This window comes from Homo sapiens, chromosome 1, assembly GCF_000001405.40.
Source record: "Homo sapiens chromosome 1, GRCh38.p14 Primary Assembly".
In the NCBI taxonomy this organism is placed as follows: Eukaryota; Metazoa; Chordata; class Mammalia; order Primates; family Hominidae; genus Homo; species Homo sapiens.
The window spans coordinates 204,927,858-204,945,147 of NC_000001.11; the positions used below are offsets into that span (position 1 = coordinate 204,927,858).

General features: G+C 47.3%; 1 protein-coding gene across 56 annotated transcripts in view, besides 1 other annotated feature; it reads left to right on the forward strand.

The window, feature by feature from the left end:
- Nucleotides 1–17,290, forward strand: part of NFASC (neurofascin) — a 194,171-nt gene that overhangs the window by 99,206 nt on the left and 77,675 nt on the right. For all 56 annotated transcript variants that reach the window (NR_165492.1, XM_011509316.2, NM_001378329.1 and 53 more), the window contains one exon: nt 16,369–16,549. Coding sequence is in view for 55 of the 56 variants with exons in the window: in XM_011509316.2 (XP_011507618.2) it covers nt 16,369–16,549 (181 nt within the window). In the remaining variant the exon portion in view is untranslated. The remainder of the gene's footprint in view (nt 1–16,368; nt 16,550–17,290) is intronic.
- Nucleotides 13,979–14,078: a silencer, noted in NCBI's record as "silent region_1731". NCBI's record gives its function as "represses an Ori minimal core promoter by ATAC-STARR-seq in GM12878 lymphoblastoid cells {active_cell/tissue: GM12878}" and the evidence as "EXISTENCE:reporter gene assay evidence [ECO:0000049][PMID:35858748]".

A 17,290-nucleotide genomic window follows, 5' to 3' on the forward strand; every position in this document is an offset into this window, starting at 1 on the left:
AGGATGTGTGTCTAATTGCTGTGAAAACTTCCTCCCTGAGGGGAGCAGACAGGGAGCCAAGGCAAGTGAGAAGCTGGGTTCTTGAATTGTAGAGAGGTGGGGGCTCTTCTCCGTGGTGGTGGGATCGGAATTCCTCCCCAGAGGGGGGAGTTCGCTTCTTGCTTTTCAGCAGGTGGAGGCAGGCAATACACCCTAGTGGTAACACCTTAACTTGTTTTCTTTACATCCTGTTTTACCTGCTAATCTTTGTATGGCAGGAGACTGGTCAGGCTGTCAGTGACTAGTAGGGCCTGAATACATCCACTCACAGATAATCCACAAATCTTATTTAAGCCAGCCCTTCACAGGGTGTTGGGTCAGCTAATCAGGAGGGTATACCGACTACATTTGAGCATCTTTTCCATTTCATGCATGTTCCCTAGTCCTGCCCCTAGGAGCATGAATGAGTAAGCAGTAATGAGGAAAAACCCCACAGCCCCAAAGACCCGTAGAAAGCTGGCTGGATTGTAGAGTCGGCGATGTCCTCCCCAGTGTATCCATTGACTGCCAGTCTGTGTGGTGTGGGTGTCAACGACAAAGCTGGGCTGTAGACCAGGGACACCTATGCACTTTGGGCTTCCTTGCTGTGCCAGGCTGCAATGTGCCAAGCTCCAGTTAGTGGGCCTTGGGTCAAAGAGACAGCATGAAGCAGCAACCACATTTTCTCCATATACAAGGATATAAATACAATGACGTGAGTTGTACCATTGTTGTAATAGGGGGGAAAATAAAGAAAAACAACTTAAAGGTCCATAACAAGTGGATGGTTAAAAGATTTGTGGCAGTCCCACACAATGGAGTTACAACAAAGAACACAGACGTCTCTGTGTCCAAGCTATATGGCTTGATAACCCAGCTAGTTGTGGTGTGGCAGTGAGATGCAGGCACCTCCCACCCTAGAAGTGGCTGCACTTTATTGGTGGGTTCAGGCTTTTTGTGGGGCTCTGGTCCTGCTGGTGGCTTATGAATAACATGGCGCCTCATAAAGAGTTTTCGCCCTAGAGAGCCTGGTGTGAATACGAGGTATTCATTAGATCTTCATGGTGGTCACCTAGAGGGAAAAGTCCCTTTCTTCTTTCCCAGCCCTTCCCTCTTCCCCAGCTTAATAATAGCCAAGAGGTTTAGGTTTCAACCTATAGATTAGTTCCGAGTGTTGAGCAGGAAACAGCTGTTTTTCAGCCAAATCCCTAATCCTAAAACCAGGTGTCCCCCTCCACCCCATCCCCAGGAGGGAATCAGGACCACCTGATACCATTTCCCTCCCCCATCCCCCTGACCCATGTGAACTTAGCCAAGGCAGGGAAAGACAGGCTAGGCCTGCTGAGTGCTATCAATGGTTAAACACACAGCCCCTCACTCCTCCCAGATCTCTGCCCCTGACAATGAAGGGGAGCCAAGCGTGAAACACAGCCAGTGAGCAGATGGAGACCACCCCCATCCAACCCTGAGGAGGGAGGAGGGGGAAGCAGGGAGTCAAATCCCATATACAGGGTTTCCTGGGCTAAGTGAAAATTCTAGAAGACAATGACTGGTTGACCCCACACCGGCCAGGAAGCTGGGTTTCTCTCCCTGAGTGTGGGGGAGGCCGAGGTCCTGAAGCAGGCTGGTGAGTGCTTTCCTCTGCTGCCAAGTCCTGCCCTGGAGAGTTTGGTATAGTTACTGCCTCTTCTAAAAGGGGAGGTGGGAGGATTGTGTGGGCAGACTGACTTTCTTAGAAGTTGCTGAGACATGGGGTCATTTCATCCAGGGTAAAGAAGAGATATGGTGAGATGTAATTCTGTGGCAGGTGCTCCCTGGGGAATGGGAGCTGGGGAGTCGCTCCCTGGGGAATGGGAGCTGGGGAGTCCCTCCCTGCCTCTTCCCCTTCTAATCTTATTTTCTTCCAGAGATCCCTCTTTCTCCACTTGCTTGGTGTTCTGTCTCTTTGGGATGGGCTAGGCATCAATAGGGGGCAGTTTGAGTTTCCTAGGAGACTCATAGTTCTGGCCTTCAGATGCCTGTGAGCTGGAAGGAATGGAACACGGCTGGGTCACCATCTGTTGCATCGTTCCTTCCTTGGCATGGGAGAGATGGAAGGGAGGTGGCCATGGGGATCAGAGGGCAGGAGGGGAAGTGGCGGACGGTGGCCCTCAGTCATGCCTAGCCGATCCCTGGGCTGAAGGCAGATTTCAGAACCCAGTGCAGCCAAGCCAGAGCCTCAGGATGAAAGAGAAAGGAAGAGACTGAGAATGGAGGTGTTGTTGATTCTGAGGCTGCTGCCTGGGGTGTCTGAATCCCTCAATTCTGAGAGTCTGTAGAGTGGAGCAAATAGGGTGACATTGAGTGTGGCCCTGACAGGTCAGACAGAAAGCTCTGAGAGTCAGCAGGGGGAGATTTGAGAAAGAAAGATGAGCATGTCTGCAGAGCCGGGGCAGGCTCTGCTACAGGGACAGGATGCTGGTTAGATGTTATTGTTAGGTTATTGCTTTTGTTGTTATTACTCAGGCTTATACTGTACAACAGATCTATCCCGTGTTATAGCAACCAAGGATTTATTGTACTGATTCATTGATGAGCTATTAAAATATCTCCCAGTAATAGGAAGTATCTGATAGGATGTCTGTCCACTCATCCCACGTGTGTTTATTGTACTGTCTCAGGAGAGACAAGACATGGACTCTGAGCTTAACATCAGAGTCTGATGCAGGAGATGGATTTGGGAATAAACTCATCCCATGAGGCAGGAGGAAATGACCAGTGGAACAGAGCATGGGGCATGCTAGGAAGCACAAGAGAAACTGCCACCCACTTTCAATGGGAAGGCAGCAACCCTGTTGTGGAGGGGTGGCCCACTTAGGGCCTTGGCAAAAAGGGAATTTGCACTGTGGAGAAGGAAGAGAATAGCATTTCTGGCGTCAGCAAAGTGGGAGCAGAGATGGCAGGAGGTGCAGAAAGCACGTGGCCTATACAGGCCTGGAGGCTGGTGTGGGGATATAGGAGGGCAGATGCTGGGAGAGGAGAAGCCACACAGGGGTCAGGAGCTGGGTCATACCAGGGCTTGAGGGCTGCTCTGAGAAGGCAGATTTTATCCCTCAGATTCCTGGATGACTTTTTCTGGACAAATCCTGGAGTTGTCCTGGATGACAAATGTAATAGAGGCTAGGCCCAGGCAGGACACACACTGGCTCCTTATTCTTTAAGAAGAAGAAAAAAAAAAGAATATGAATGAGAATGTAGTTATTATAATGTTAATAACCTGAGCTGCTCTGCAAACATTATTACTTTGTATTAGGAACAAATTTCTTGACAAATACATATGATCATTAGTTCCAACTAAAAGGAGCTGCTGCCTGTCCACATGGAACCCTCCATCCCAATGAGGGATAAATCTGAGCTCTTTTCAGATCTCCCGTGTACCCACATGCATACTCCTTAATTTTGTATACTTCTATTTCCTCCTATTTCAGCTCCTCTCTCTCAGTCCTGAACAAGTTGTTTCCAGGCAGCTGTAGTGATAAGCCCTGCTACATTTTTTTATCCCAATGCAGAATGGCTGAGTTTTGCATTGGCTCTGTTGGGCTTTTATTATCTCTTTGTTCCCCAACAATTTCCTGTGGCAGTGATGTGTGAATGTATTTCTCCCTTGGTTCTTGTAGTACTATTCTAGTCACTTGACTAGTTTATTCTAAGAACTAATTGCTGGCATGTGGCCTTGGTAGCAGTAATCTGTTGGTGTATCCCTAGGCACTAACTCATGTGCACAACCTTGGAATACCTGACGAACTGTTTCATTCATGGCTCTTAGACATTTCAAACTGAATATATTCTGTTCCATGCTTGTGATCTCCCTGCATCCCAGTGACTACCAGACTCACTCTCCCTTCTGTGTTCTTGGTGTCAATTATTAGAGTCATCCTAGTCCAGTTTCCCAAGCTAGAAACCTTGATGCCATCCTTCTTCTTGCTTCTACTACCGGTCAGTCATCAGATCCTATTCTAACACAAAAACAGTCCTCAACAGGCTTTGGAGAACATTAAACCATCCTTCTATCATGATCTCCCCTTTTCTCTCTCACTCTGACCAGGGCCACCTGTGGAATCTGGAAGAAGGCAAGTGAAGTGAAGCGGGAGAGGAGACATGGGCTGAGCAACCTCACTCTGGGCTTCACTCCCAGAATAAGGGGATACTATAAGGCAGAGTGTGGCCTGCAGCTAAGCCCCAGACCAGCCCCTGAGAGGCAGAATATAGGTCTCCGTTGGGTCAGGTTTACCCTATATTCAGAGAAAACATAAAGGTCTTGCTTTTAGTGACGTCACTTGAGTTTGTCAGGAAGGAATGCACTAAGAAAAAGTAAAAACAGCTTTATGTTCCTGTGCAGTATTTTATTTAGTTCTTATAACAACCATCTGAAAAAGTCAGTAATGCAGTAATATTTATTTCCATTTTTGAGATTTTTTAAAGGCTTGGAAAACAAGTAATTTGTAAAAGATAAGAGGCAGGATTGAAACCTTTACCTGGATCTTCCATTCCATAAATATTCCTTGCCAGGGACTATGCTGGCCACTCGGCACACAGGAATGAACAGGACACGGTGTCAGCCTCAAGAATTTCACTAAGATTGACAGCGTTTGCAAAAGGCATTTAAAAAAAAAAAAGAATTTCACAAAGTGGGGAGAAAGATTAAGTCAGAAGTTAGCAAACTACAGCCTCTGGGCCAGGTCCAGACCAATATCTGCCTGTTTTTGTCAATACAGTCTTATTGGAACTGAGACACGCCTGTTCACTCACTGTCTGTGGCTGCTTTCACACTGCGAAGGTAAAGTTCAGTAGTCGTGACAGAAAGTGCGTGCCTCACAAAGCCTAAGATAGTCACTATCTGGACGTTTACAGATGTTTCCCACCCTTAGTTTAAACATAGTTTTACCGCAGTGTGCCACATGCCCCAGAGAGGTAGATTTGTGGTTGAGTGGCACAGCAGGAGTGCAGGATTCTTCACTCGGCAGATGTCTGAGCAGAGTCTTGAAGACTGAGTAGGAATTGATCACATGGAAGGAGGAAAGATCCTTCCAGGCACAGGGGATCACATGTGTAAGGTATGGAGGCACAGATGGTGTGCTACAGCATGCAGTTAAAAAGCATTTGGGGTTGGTGGTGGGAGGGTAGCGGGGGCAGTTGGAGAGACCTGCAGGAGCCTGATCTCCAAAAACCTTGAGTGCTGCACTCAGAAGTATGGGTCTGATCTTATAGATTAATGGGATGATATGAAAGGGTTTTCAGAGGAGCACTGACATGATCAGATCAGGTGTTTAGAAAAGTCACTGGAATAGCAGCATGGAGAATGGATTGGATGGAGGAGACCAACTAGGAGGTTATTGCCGTAGTGTATGAGACATGTATGTGAAAGGTGAGATGGGGAGAATGCGGGGGAGATGGAGAATAAGCAACACTGGGAAGTAGACAGTCTGAGGGCCTTGATGCCTGGGTATGGGCTATGAAAAGGGGTGGGTTGTAAGGGCAATTCCCAGGTGTCTGGCTTGAATGACTTGGGTGGGTACCACCAACAAAGATGGGGACTGGAGATGGGGCACATGACCCCAATGGAGACACTGAATTTTAGGCAGAAGAAGAGAATCCGGCCATGGGATCAGTGTCACCATGGAGGCTATAAATGCCAGACCCAAGATGGGGCCTCAAAGTGATGTCTCAGAAGCCAAGGAAGAAAGAATATTAGGATAAATGGAGTGGTTAACAATTTTTAATACCTCCAGGAGGTTTGGCAAAATAAAGACTGAGAACACTAGATTCAGCCAGTGGGAGGTCAGGAGAGGAGAGTTAGAGGAGCATGAGGAGTGAATGGGAAAGGAAGAAGCCAAAAAAAAAAAGCTTTCAGAAGAGAAGAGATGGAGAAAAAAATTCTAGTATGCATATATAGGGAGGCTGTGGGATACAGAGAAGGATCTTTTTGTTATAAGATAGGAGAGGCTGGGCATGGTGACTCACGCCTGTAATCCCAGCACTTGGGGAGGCCAACGTGGGTGGATCATCTATGGTCAGGAGTTCGAGGCCAGCCTGGCCAACATGGTGAAACCTTGTCTCTACTAAAAATACAAAAATTAGCTGGGCGTGGTGGCAGGTGCCTGTAATCCCAGCTACTCGGGAGGCTGAGGTAGGAAAATCACTTGAACCCAAGAGGCGGAGGTTGCAATGAGCTGAGATCACGCTATTGCACTCCACCCCGGGCGACAGAGTGAGACTCCATTTCAAAAAAAAAAAAAAAAACAGATGAGAGAAACTTGAAGATGTTTCTCTGCTGAGGCAGAGAGCCAGTTGAGAAGAGTTTGGAAGTTCTGGGGAGAGCAGCATTTCATGGTCAAGGGCAGATCCATGCAGAAGCTGGGGCTGGTCCAGGTAGAGGTGGGCAGGAGGAAGGACACTTTTTATATACAGAAAGTGGCAGCATAGGTAGGCATCAACCAGCATTCTAAGGGCACTTCTGATTCTGACAGCACTGCCAGTTGCAAGTGATAGAAAATTCAACTCTAATTGGCTTGCAAATTAAAGAGAATTGTTAATGTAAATGTATATGTAATTAAAAACCCACAATAAGACTTGTTTCAGAAAATGTTCAATCAGTAACTCAAACAAGGACATGAAGGATTGAGTCTTCCTATGTCTTCTCTCTGCCTTCCGGGTTATCCTCAGATTTCACATGGAGACACCCTTTCCCACCCCCAACAGCTCCAGCCTCTCCTCTTACTGAAGATGACCACAGGGTCTTTTTCAGAAGAGAGGGGAAACTCCTCTTTCCCAGAGGTCTCAACAGAAGTCTTCATGAATCACATTGCCGCCTGCTGGAATAGATGCCCATTCCTAAACCAGTCGTGGTGGTGACAGGCTAGGAGATGGTAATTGGCTTAAACTAATCAGGGCCCAGCCCTGGAATTGGTGTAGGATTGCTCTGAGAAAGGGGTAGAGATGAATTCTCCGAAGAAAAATATGGGCACTGTGGACGGGAGGAGGATAGTATGGGTGCTGGCTATGCAGCCAGTAAATATGCACTAGAGTTCTCTGTGTGCTGGACGTTGTGCAGGTTGAACAAGACACTGTCTTAGCCTCAAGGAATTCATGGTGCAGTTGGGGAAACAGACAATTAATTGACACTGAAATCTAGCACTCATTATAGTGAATATATTCCAAAATGCTCTAAGAGCACTTAGGACGAGGACCTAATCCAGCCTTGGTGGGAAGGGATGGTGCCAGGAAAGTAAGGGAGACTTCCCAGAGGAGGTAGCACCTGACCTGAGCCTGGAAGATGGCAAAGAATTAGGAGAAAGAAGGAGAGCAGTAAAGGCAGACTAGGAAAGAAGAGTGATTGCCGTAAAGACAGTGTGGAAGTAAACAAAGATCACCCACATGAGAACAAGCGGAAGCTATTTATTCAGAGCTTGCTACAGCAAGGGAGTCAGCCACCATCACCTGCATTTGACAGAGACTCAGAGGCAGGCAGGGGAGTGGGAAAGCTTTGTCATGAGTGAAAGGAAGGCTCCAGATGTGTCTGGGAAACTGGAGATGGGCAAACTAGAAGTGGGCATCTTATGTGATTGGTTTGGGAACGTATTCAGCTTTCCTGGTCAGTTCTGAGTAGAAAGTGGCAGCAAGAAATAGGGGAGCTGACAGCACTGAGCAAGCCTGACTGTCCTGGGCTGGGTGCTGCAGAGCTTGTGTGTCAGGACTGTACTGTCATCTAGGGGCTGGCCAGCGTCTGATCTGTTCAGTCTGCATGGGGTATAAGTAGGAGTGATCCGAAATGGGATAGAGGAAGATGAGACTGGGCACCCCGGTCCTCAACACAAATGCAAAGGCTAGCGTGGGAAGGCTGGGGGATTTTCCAAGGCCAGCACTGCAGCCTTAGCCTGGCGTGTTCCTCCTCACACCCATGTCTTGCCGTTGCCCCCGTGCATCATGGCCACTGGGCACAGGGTTTTTGAATATGGAACATTAGGCTGCTGCACAGGGTTTCCAGTTCTTTCCTCCCACACTATCTTTATGTCAGTCACTCTCCTTTCCCAATCTGCCTTTACTGTGGTTCTTCCTTCACTCAACAGTCTTTTCTTCAAATAAAACCTTATATGAAACCCCAGTATAAAAACAGTCACTGTTGGCAGCTCTGGGGAGAGTGGGAGGGGGGTCCTGAGTCCCACCTGTTCTCCTCCTGCCCAATCCTCCTTGAAGAAGGCCCCTGAGTCATTTTCGGAAAACCCACCAGCTCCTCTGGACCCAATGTGAAAACCTAGCATTAACAGATTCCCTCTCTCTCTCTTTCTTTTTCTTTTTTTTTTTTTTTGAGATGGAGTCTTGCTCTGTAACCCATGCTGGAGTGCAGTGGCACAATCTTGGCTCACTGCAACCTCCACCTCCCAGGTTCAAGTGATTCTCCTGCCTCAGCCTCCCGAGTAGCTGGGATTACAGGCGTGCACCCCCACGCCTGGCTAATTTTTTATATTTTTGTAGAGATGGGATTTCACCATGTTGGCAAGGCTGGCCTCAAACTCCTGGCCTCAAGTGATCTGTCCACCTCGGCCTCCCAAAGTGCTGGGATTACAGGCGTGAGCCACCATGTCCAGCACTAACAGATTCTTAAGAAATCTTTAGCTCTGTCCTCACCCCTCTGGGTATTTTATGTTTTACCCCAGAGATGGCCATGAGGCTGGCTGCACAGGGTGGGGGTCTTGTTGAAAGAGTGTGGGGTGTCTGGTGTGCAGGCTGAGGGCTGGCCTCACTCAGAGGCTGTGGAGCCTCCTACCTGGCCTCCCCACTTCCACCCTGGCCCATTGACATTCTGCCCTCCATGTGGCAGCCAGAGTGGTCTTTACAAGCAAATCTCACCATGTCACTCTGGCTTCAAACCCTGCAGCCGCTTCCTATCATGCTTAGAATGTGCTTCAGGCTCCTTCTTTTGGCCTTCAGAGCTCTCCGTGAGCATGCCCTGGACTCTCTCTCTGACTGTGACTTGTTCCATTCTTGTCCTTGCGCCCTCCAAGCTCCAGCCATGCTGGCTTCTCTCAGTTTCTTGCATGGGGCAATGTGATTCCTGCCACAGGGCCTTTGCACAAGCAGCTCTTCTTGCCTGGGATGCTTTTCTGACCTGTCTTTGCAAGGTTAGTGCCTTCTTACCATTCAGGTCTTGGTCAGATGGCAACTTCTCACAGAGAGGCCTTCCTTGACCACTCGCTTCACTTTATTACATCACATCAATCACTACTGTGGTTTCTTTCTTTAAAAAAAAAAACACTTCTAGAGCAGTTTTAGGTTCAAGGTACAGAGAGTTCCCATGCACCCCATCTTCACACGTACACAGCCCCCTCCATTATCAACATTTCTTACCATACTAACGTGTTCGTTACAGTCGATGAACCTACATGGACACATCATTATGACCCACAGTCCACAGTTGATGTTAGGGTTCACTCTTGGAGTTCTATGGGTTTGGACAAATGTATTATATAATGACAAGTATCTACTATTAGGGCATCATACAGAGAAGTTTCACTGCCCTAAACACCCTCCTCTGTGCTCTGTCTATTCATCCCTCAACCTGCACCCCCAGCAACCACAGATCTTTCTAGTGTCTCTATAGTTTTGCCTTTTCCAGAATGTCATGCGGTTGTAACCACACAGTGTGCAGCCTTTTCAGACTGGCTTCCTTCACTTGGTAGTGTGCCTTTCCTTCATGTCTTTCCATGGCTTGGTAGCTCACTTCTTTTGGGCACTGAGTAATATTCCATTGGATGTACCTCCGTTTCTCCATCCGCTGATGGGAGAACGTCCTGGTTGCTTCTGTCTGGGTTTTGGCAAAATTATCAACAAAGCTGTTAAACATCCACGTGCAGGTCGGTTGTGTTTTCTCCGTTGCACTTATTGCTACTGGATTTTTGGTTCAACATATATTTACTGTCCTCCCTGCTGGGATGGAAGCTCCATGAGAGTAGAGGGACTTTGTCTCTTGTCCATGCATGTGTTCTCTAGAATAATCCCTGCCATCCAGTCGGCTATGTGAATGAATCCCTGCCCACTGCATGCAGCCCAAAAGTCTGAGATGGCTTTCCCTCCAGGAGACGAAGAGCTGCCAGCTGAGCCATGTCTCGACGCTGCCAGTCTTCTCTCCTTGTCACTTCAGATGTGTTGTGACCACCAGGACAGCCTGCCCAGAACGTGGCTGTGGGAATGTGAGGAGCTCCCGATGGCGACAGCTCGTGGGAGCCACGGGATCTCATCCATCTGCCAGGGACAGCTTGTGGAATCAACACCACGGGCCCCCAATGTGGGGAAAGAAACCAGGGCCCAGAAGAAAAGGAAAAACAGAAAAGCAGGCTGTGACCATGGATGCGTCATTATTACAGCCACTTACTACTCATATTGGTCATGTCGTGGAGGTGGACAGAATGCTTCCCTCATCCCTTTGAGCTCAAACCCACTCAGGGGCAGCAGCTGACATTTTTTAAGCATTTACGCTGTGCCCCATGCTTTACCAAGTGTTTTACATAGGAATTGTGTGATAAATCCTCACAGCAGCCTTCTAGAATTGGTGCTATTGTTATCCCCATTTTTCAGATGATAAATACAAAGCTTCCAAGCTTCAGTGCTTGCCCAAGCCCCCCACCCTGCCGCCGGCTCCCATACTTTTAAGTGGGAAGTGGCCTCAAACCAGGCAGTCTAACCATGCAGCCAATGCTCTCGAACTAGACAAGACACCACCATGTCCAGAGGTCTTCTACCAGGCAGATCATTAGCAAACTCACATGTGACATCTTGGACATTTTGAATCTGAATCACTCACAAGCCTTGCAGATTTAAAGGCCTTGTGTTCAGGCAGGTTGCCCATGTGTGTGGACCATCCCTGTGTGAGATAACAGGTTCTAAGAGCATTAAAAACAATCTACAACCTGATTTGGCCCCTGCCTAGAAGATTGAGGGCCCGGGAATCTGTATGTTTGAAGAGTGTCCAGGTGACTCTGAAAAGCATCCAGCCTTCCTCCTGTGTGGGAATGTTGTCAGTAACACACCTAACCAATGCCATTTGGAGTTTTTATGAAACAGTACTTAACATGGCAGAACATGTCACCTTCAGGTAGTTCTATTCTCTTTTCTTCCTGTATGGATGGATGTGTGTGTGTGTGTGTGTGTGTGTGTGTGTGTGTGTGTGTGTGTGTGTAGGGGGATTGGGAGACCTCAGATATACATGAGCTGAATTAATCATGTTCTCCAGTACTTAGTATACCATGCATCCACATAGGATTTATTTCTTTGTTGTATTTATTTTTGTTCTTTTCTGCACTCTCCCCCTGCCCCCTGCAATGAGCCCTCCTCTCATGTATTTTATATCCTTACAGCCTGCCTCTTATGTTATTATATATAAAAGGATCCTTCAAACATATCATATGTAGAGTATGTTTTTTCACTAATGGTATTGTGGCACGGCTGCATTTATCAGACAATTCTTCCTGTGACTCAAGGAAGCACCTGCCTTTCTGAAACATCCTCCTATTTGGTCCTAGCTTTGCCCCTGTGGAACTAAACAGAAAAATTCTACACTCTCTCCCAGCATGTGAATACAATCACTGTGGCCCCTCTTCTTCAGGCTCAACCTACCCCCTCTCCTCTACTTTCCCTCCTAGGATGTGGGAGTTTCCTGGTCCTCCCTGGGATGATCCCACTAGAACCAACCACCCCCACATCTGGATGTTGCACTTCTCTGCACCTAAGCAGTCACCTCTGGTGTGGTTGGAAGTGCTGGGAGAGGAACCCGAGAGGTGGCATGACTGGGCCCTAGGGCAAGACTGTGCAATGACTAAGGTTGAATGGGAAGTGTGGACTTGATTGCTGTAGGCTAGCAAGCCTGTCCCTTTCACCTTTCTTCCTGGTCATCAGGACAGGGGAACTGTAAGCCTTGCTGATGTAGGGGTACCTTCAGGCAGGGCATCTCTGCTGTCACTCTATGTTGGGTTCTTTGAGCTCAGTACTAGAACTCTCATACTCAGAAAGATGGTGGATTCATTCCTTCCTTTGACTTGGATGGAAATTTCCTCAGAATGGATGGCAGGGGTTGCAAACCATGTGCCTGCCTTCCATGCTGAGTGAGCCCAGCCTGGGGAGCTGAGGGCCCTATATGCTCACATCAAATAATCTGTCCTCTTCATCCTCTGTCCCATCTTTATGAGCACATAATGGAGGCCAATATTATACTTTTCTTTTTTGTTGAGGTGAAACATAAACCGTTTTAAAGTGCACAGCTCAAAGCCGGGCGCGATGGCTCACACCTATAATCCCAACACTTTGGGAGGCCGAGCTGGGTGGATCACCTGAGGTCAGGAGTTTGAGACCAGCCTGGGCAACATGGTCAAACTCTGTCTCTACTAAAAATACAAAATTTAGCTGGGTGTGGTGGCACATGCCTGTAATCCCAGCTACTTGGAAGGCTAAGGCACGAGAATCACTTGAACCCAGGAGGTGGAGGCTGCAGTGAGCCGAGATCATGCCACTGCACTCCCGCCTGGGCAACAGAGTGAGATTCTGTCTCAAAAATAAATTAATTAAATTAAGTGCACAATTCAGTAGCATTTGGTCCATTCACAATGTGTGCACCCACAACTCTATCCAGTTCAAAACATTTGCATCTCAAAAGGAAACCTCATACCCATTAACCAGTTTCCCTCCTTCTCCCTTCCCCTCTGCCTCTGGTCACCAAAGACAATCTGTGTTTTGTCTCAGTGTATGTATCTATTCTACAGATAAGACCTAGACATGTCATATCTATGGGATCATTCCCTGTGACCTTTTGTGCATGGTTCTTTCACCGAGCGTGTTTTCAGGATTCATCCATGTTGGAGCATGTCAGTATTGAATTCCTTCCTATGGCTGAGTCATATTCCAGGGTATATACATACTGGAATTTGTTTATCCATTCATTCCTTAGAGGACATGTGGGCTGTGTCCACCCTTTGGCTGTTGTGCATGATGCTGCTGTGAACATTTTGTGTACATGTACTTGTTTGATGCCTGTTTTTAATCCTTTTGCACATATACCTTAGAATTGCAGAGTCATATGGTAATTTTATGTCTAACTTTTTGAGGAACTGCCAAACTATACATTTCTTTTTTAAATAGCAACCTTACTCTGGTACTTTTCCTGTATATACAAAGAGAAAAATGGGTGGAAAATCCCTGGACTAGGAGTCAAGAAACCTGGGTTCTTTTTCTACCTTTGCCACTAACCAGCTAGGTAAACTCAAACCAGTCACTTCCCTTCTCTCGGCTTTTGTTTCTTCATCTGAAAAGAAAGGGGATTGGATGAATCTAGTGTTCTTTAAATTCTTTTCCTCTTGTAAGGTTTTGTTGGAAAAACTGGGTTCCAGAGAGGAAAGAGGGAGAGAATTGCTACACAGCTAAATGTGATTATCTTGAGATTCTTTTTCCACTCTATTGCTAAATAGTGAATTTAAAATATCCCATACAATTGGGCTTTTTTTTCTTGCCAATGTGTATCTGATTTAATGAATAGCTTCTGGCTTCCTAATTCTATCAAGAGTCCCAAAATAAAATATCCGTCTCTTTCCCTTCACTTCCTACTGCTTGGCAGCTCCTAAACCAAACATGGTGGTCGTGGAGCCCGGATGGGAGCCATCCCTGCTGCCCCTGCTGTGCCTTCCTCTATCGCAGGTTCCCTCAGCACTAAGGGTTCAGTTGCCTGATCTGAGTCTGGTCTTTGGAGATGTATAAGCCAAGGAGAGGCATTAGTGGATTCTTTCTGCGACAGTATAAGGACCATCTTAGAGAGTTGGGAAGGTGAACCAAAGACCTCCTGTGATGCCTTCTAGCCAGAGGGTCCCTCCTTGGGAGATTTTCTACTCTCTTAACCCTCTTTCAGCTTGTTGGTTTCCTCTCCAGAGAGCACCGTCTGTGTAGGGGCGGATTTTTTTTGTTCCACTAATGAGTAGCCTTCACAGTATGCCACCCAGGTCCACAGCATGTGCTCTCCTGCGCCGCCTGGTGGTTTTCTGGGGAAACGTGAGGTTTTAAAAAGCACATGATGGTCCAAATGGCTTCTTATTTCATCCATTTAATCATTCGTTCATTTTTTCATCCATCCATATGTCGATCCCTCTCACAGTTTTGAGGATCTGCTATGTTTTAGGTACTATGGTCGATTCTAAGAATAAAACAGTAAACAAGATAGGGTACCTTCCCTTATAAAAAAGCTTTCATTTTCATAGGGGAGATAGACAAGTGGCTTTTGGAATGAATACAAAGTGAAATGTGCCATAATGGGGGAAGTAAAGGGTGTGCAGGAGCACAGATGAAGGACACGTATGTCATACCTGGCAAATACTAACGAGAGAGGGCAGACACAGAGTGTTCTAGACCAGAGCTTAATGGTGCAAAAGTCAGTAAGCAAGACCAAGCATGATGTACCGAGGGAGCTGGTAGAAGAGCAGTCTTGGCTGGAACACAGGATGCAAGGGAGAGATGAGCAGTGAGCTAGCAGAGGGGATGCATTATGCAGGGCCTCTGAGCCATGTCAAGGACACTACCTTTAACTCCCAAGCAGCAGTGAGCTATTGAGAGTTGCACTAGGGGAGTAGCACATTTCTGTTTGCCTTTAGAAATAACAGCTTTGGTTATGAGTGGAGAGTAAATCAGAGGGGCATATCACACTGCATCCCATAAATGCGTACAATTATTATGTGTCAATTAAAAATAATAAAGTAAAAAACAAACCACAGGGGGGAAAAGTGGACCTGGAGAGACCACTTAGGAAGCTGTTGCAGTAACTCTGGCATGAAATGTTGGTGATCAAAACCACGGTGGTGGCAGTGGGAAAGGAGGCAAGTGGAGGAGTCCAGAAATATACACAAAGTTGAGGTTTGGTGCTGGGCCCAGCTTCTGGGAAAGAAACTGCAAAAATGTGAATAAGAATCCTTTAGTTTGCCCCATATCCTGGCACAAGGGAAGTCCCTTGTCCTATTGCAATAATCAGTGACCTGCTTTTTGCTCCAGGTCTCCAGAAGGATGGCCTTGTCTCCCAGGATCTCTCGCCCCCTCAGAGAGCAGGCACTGGAGTCCTGTTCTTATCTTCTGCACCCTCAGTCAGGGTGGATAGGAGATGGTGCATGTGCACAATTGAGAGTGGGCTTCAATTTGCTGCCGAATAAAATAGGAGCAGGAGAATGATGTGTCCATCTGATAGGTAGCTATGAATCTAGGAAAACTGGAGGAATTCTGGAGAAGCCACCTCCTGCCTTCCTCTTTGACTTGCCACCACAGTAGAATAACAAACTGGACCAATTTTTTAAAGTGTATGTTTCAGAACCTCAGGCAATCTTAAAGCACTCTATTTGAGTCTCAGCTGTAGGCCATTCTTGCTCTTCTCTTTCTAGAGGAGGAGAAGAAAGGTTTGTCTCTAAGGATCCATTCTAGGTTCCTTGGACAACCATTTTTAACACCATCCCTGTAAGCCCTGGAATGATTTCTTGTGCTTGAGGATGAACACTGAATCATCATACATGCTGTTTACTCTACCAACCACCTGAAGCCCGCTTCTTCCTGGTCATTGTCTCACCACTGCCGTTATCTATAAAAGGACAATATCAGGGACCACTGTACCTTAGCTGCACAAAATACTTGCAGAAATCATTCATTTTTCTACAAAAATGACAAAAAGTCCTTTGTGCGCCAAGTCTTCACTTATCTAACCCATGATCCCCAGTCCTGCCAATGTCACCCTGCCCCCTTCGTCCTGGGATCAAAGGACATCAGTGCGATCTCATCTCTGTGCCTCTACCGCAAATATGCTCAACCCCAGGCACACTCAGCACATGTGGTTCAGAGAGGCTGTGAGATTGGTGCATTTCTTACCAGATCGGTGCATGGCATCTTCTGGTTGCTGGGCCTGCAGGCCAATAGGCCAATGTTTGTTTTCATGACTGTTCTTTGCAGAGTTGCCCTTCCTTCTCTAACAGTGGTTTTCAGCTGGGAGTTTTGCCCTCCAGGGAACAATTGCCAATGTCTGGAGACATTTCTGATTGGTAGTGGTGAAGGGGGTGGGCTGTACTGGCTTCTATCGGGTAGAGGTCAGAGATGCTGCTAAACATCTTACAATACCCAGGACAGTTCCCCAGGCCAAGAATTGTTCAGTCCCACGTGTCAGTAGTGTTGAGGTTAAGAAACTCTGCTCTATCTAGAACATTACTCTGTGACCAAGGGGGCTCTTCGGTCCTCCAAAGCCCTGTAGGATTGCTAGAGCAAACCACAAGTTCATGAAAAACTCACTTGCTCTTATGTTTCTTTCCACAGCTGAGTGCTGTCCAGGAGGCCCAGTTAAAGCGGCTCGAGGTGACAAGACCCCGAGTGCTGGGGAGCAGGGAGCAGGGCCAGGTGCCGAGGATGGCCAGGCAGCCACCGCCGCCCTGGGTCCATGCAGCCTTCCTCCTCTGCCTCCTCAGTCTTGGCGGAGCCATCGAAATTCCTATGGATCGTGAGTCCTGCCCCATTCTCTTCTCTTTTTTTTCCTGATTTTGGGCAGAGGGGTGGGAGGGGAGGGAAGGTCAGAGGAAAGTTCAGATAATCCAAGGAGATTGAGGAGAGGGGACGCAGTGGATTCTGAGATTCAGAGCTGGGTTTCTCTCCAAAGAATTGACACAGGCTCATGTTTGGAAGTTTGAGACTGTATGTTGCAGAGCCAGTTTCTCAGGGCTGTGGCTGAGCTGATGCTTGGGGTGCCTGGAGCCAGCTGAGTGGGACTAGAGGTGGCGGAGTTTGGGATTCTGAGTGCCACTTGGGTTTTTCCCTCTGCTCACCTCTCCAGGTCCTCTGTGGTCTTGACTTGCCCATGAAAGCAGTCCAGGGTCAAGTGTGGTGGAGCAGTTCTTACTTGCCTTTCTAATGTCTGATATATTCAAATCCACACCCTTCGGGCCCTCTTGGCTGGAGTAATCAGGAGGACACAGGCCTGGGAAGGGCTGGGAGCAGAATTATCTTTGCAAAAGACATGGCTAAATGAGACATTAAAATAGAGCCCCATTATCATGCCGCATGGGAGAACCAGGCATGGATTCCTTCTCATTGTTTTCAACTTTCCTGCAGTAAAGATAAAAAGTAAAATCGCTGTCATTCTGTTTCTCATAGAGGGGGCATTATTTGACCATCAGAATCATAAAGTAAGGGGCTTAAAATGCAAATCTAACAGCCATGTCTCCACCAACCATATCTGTTGCTG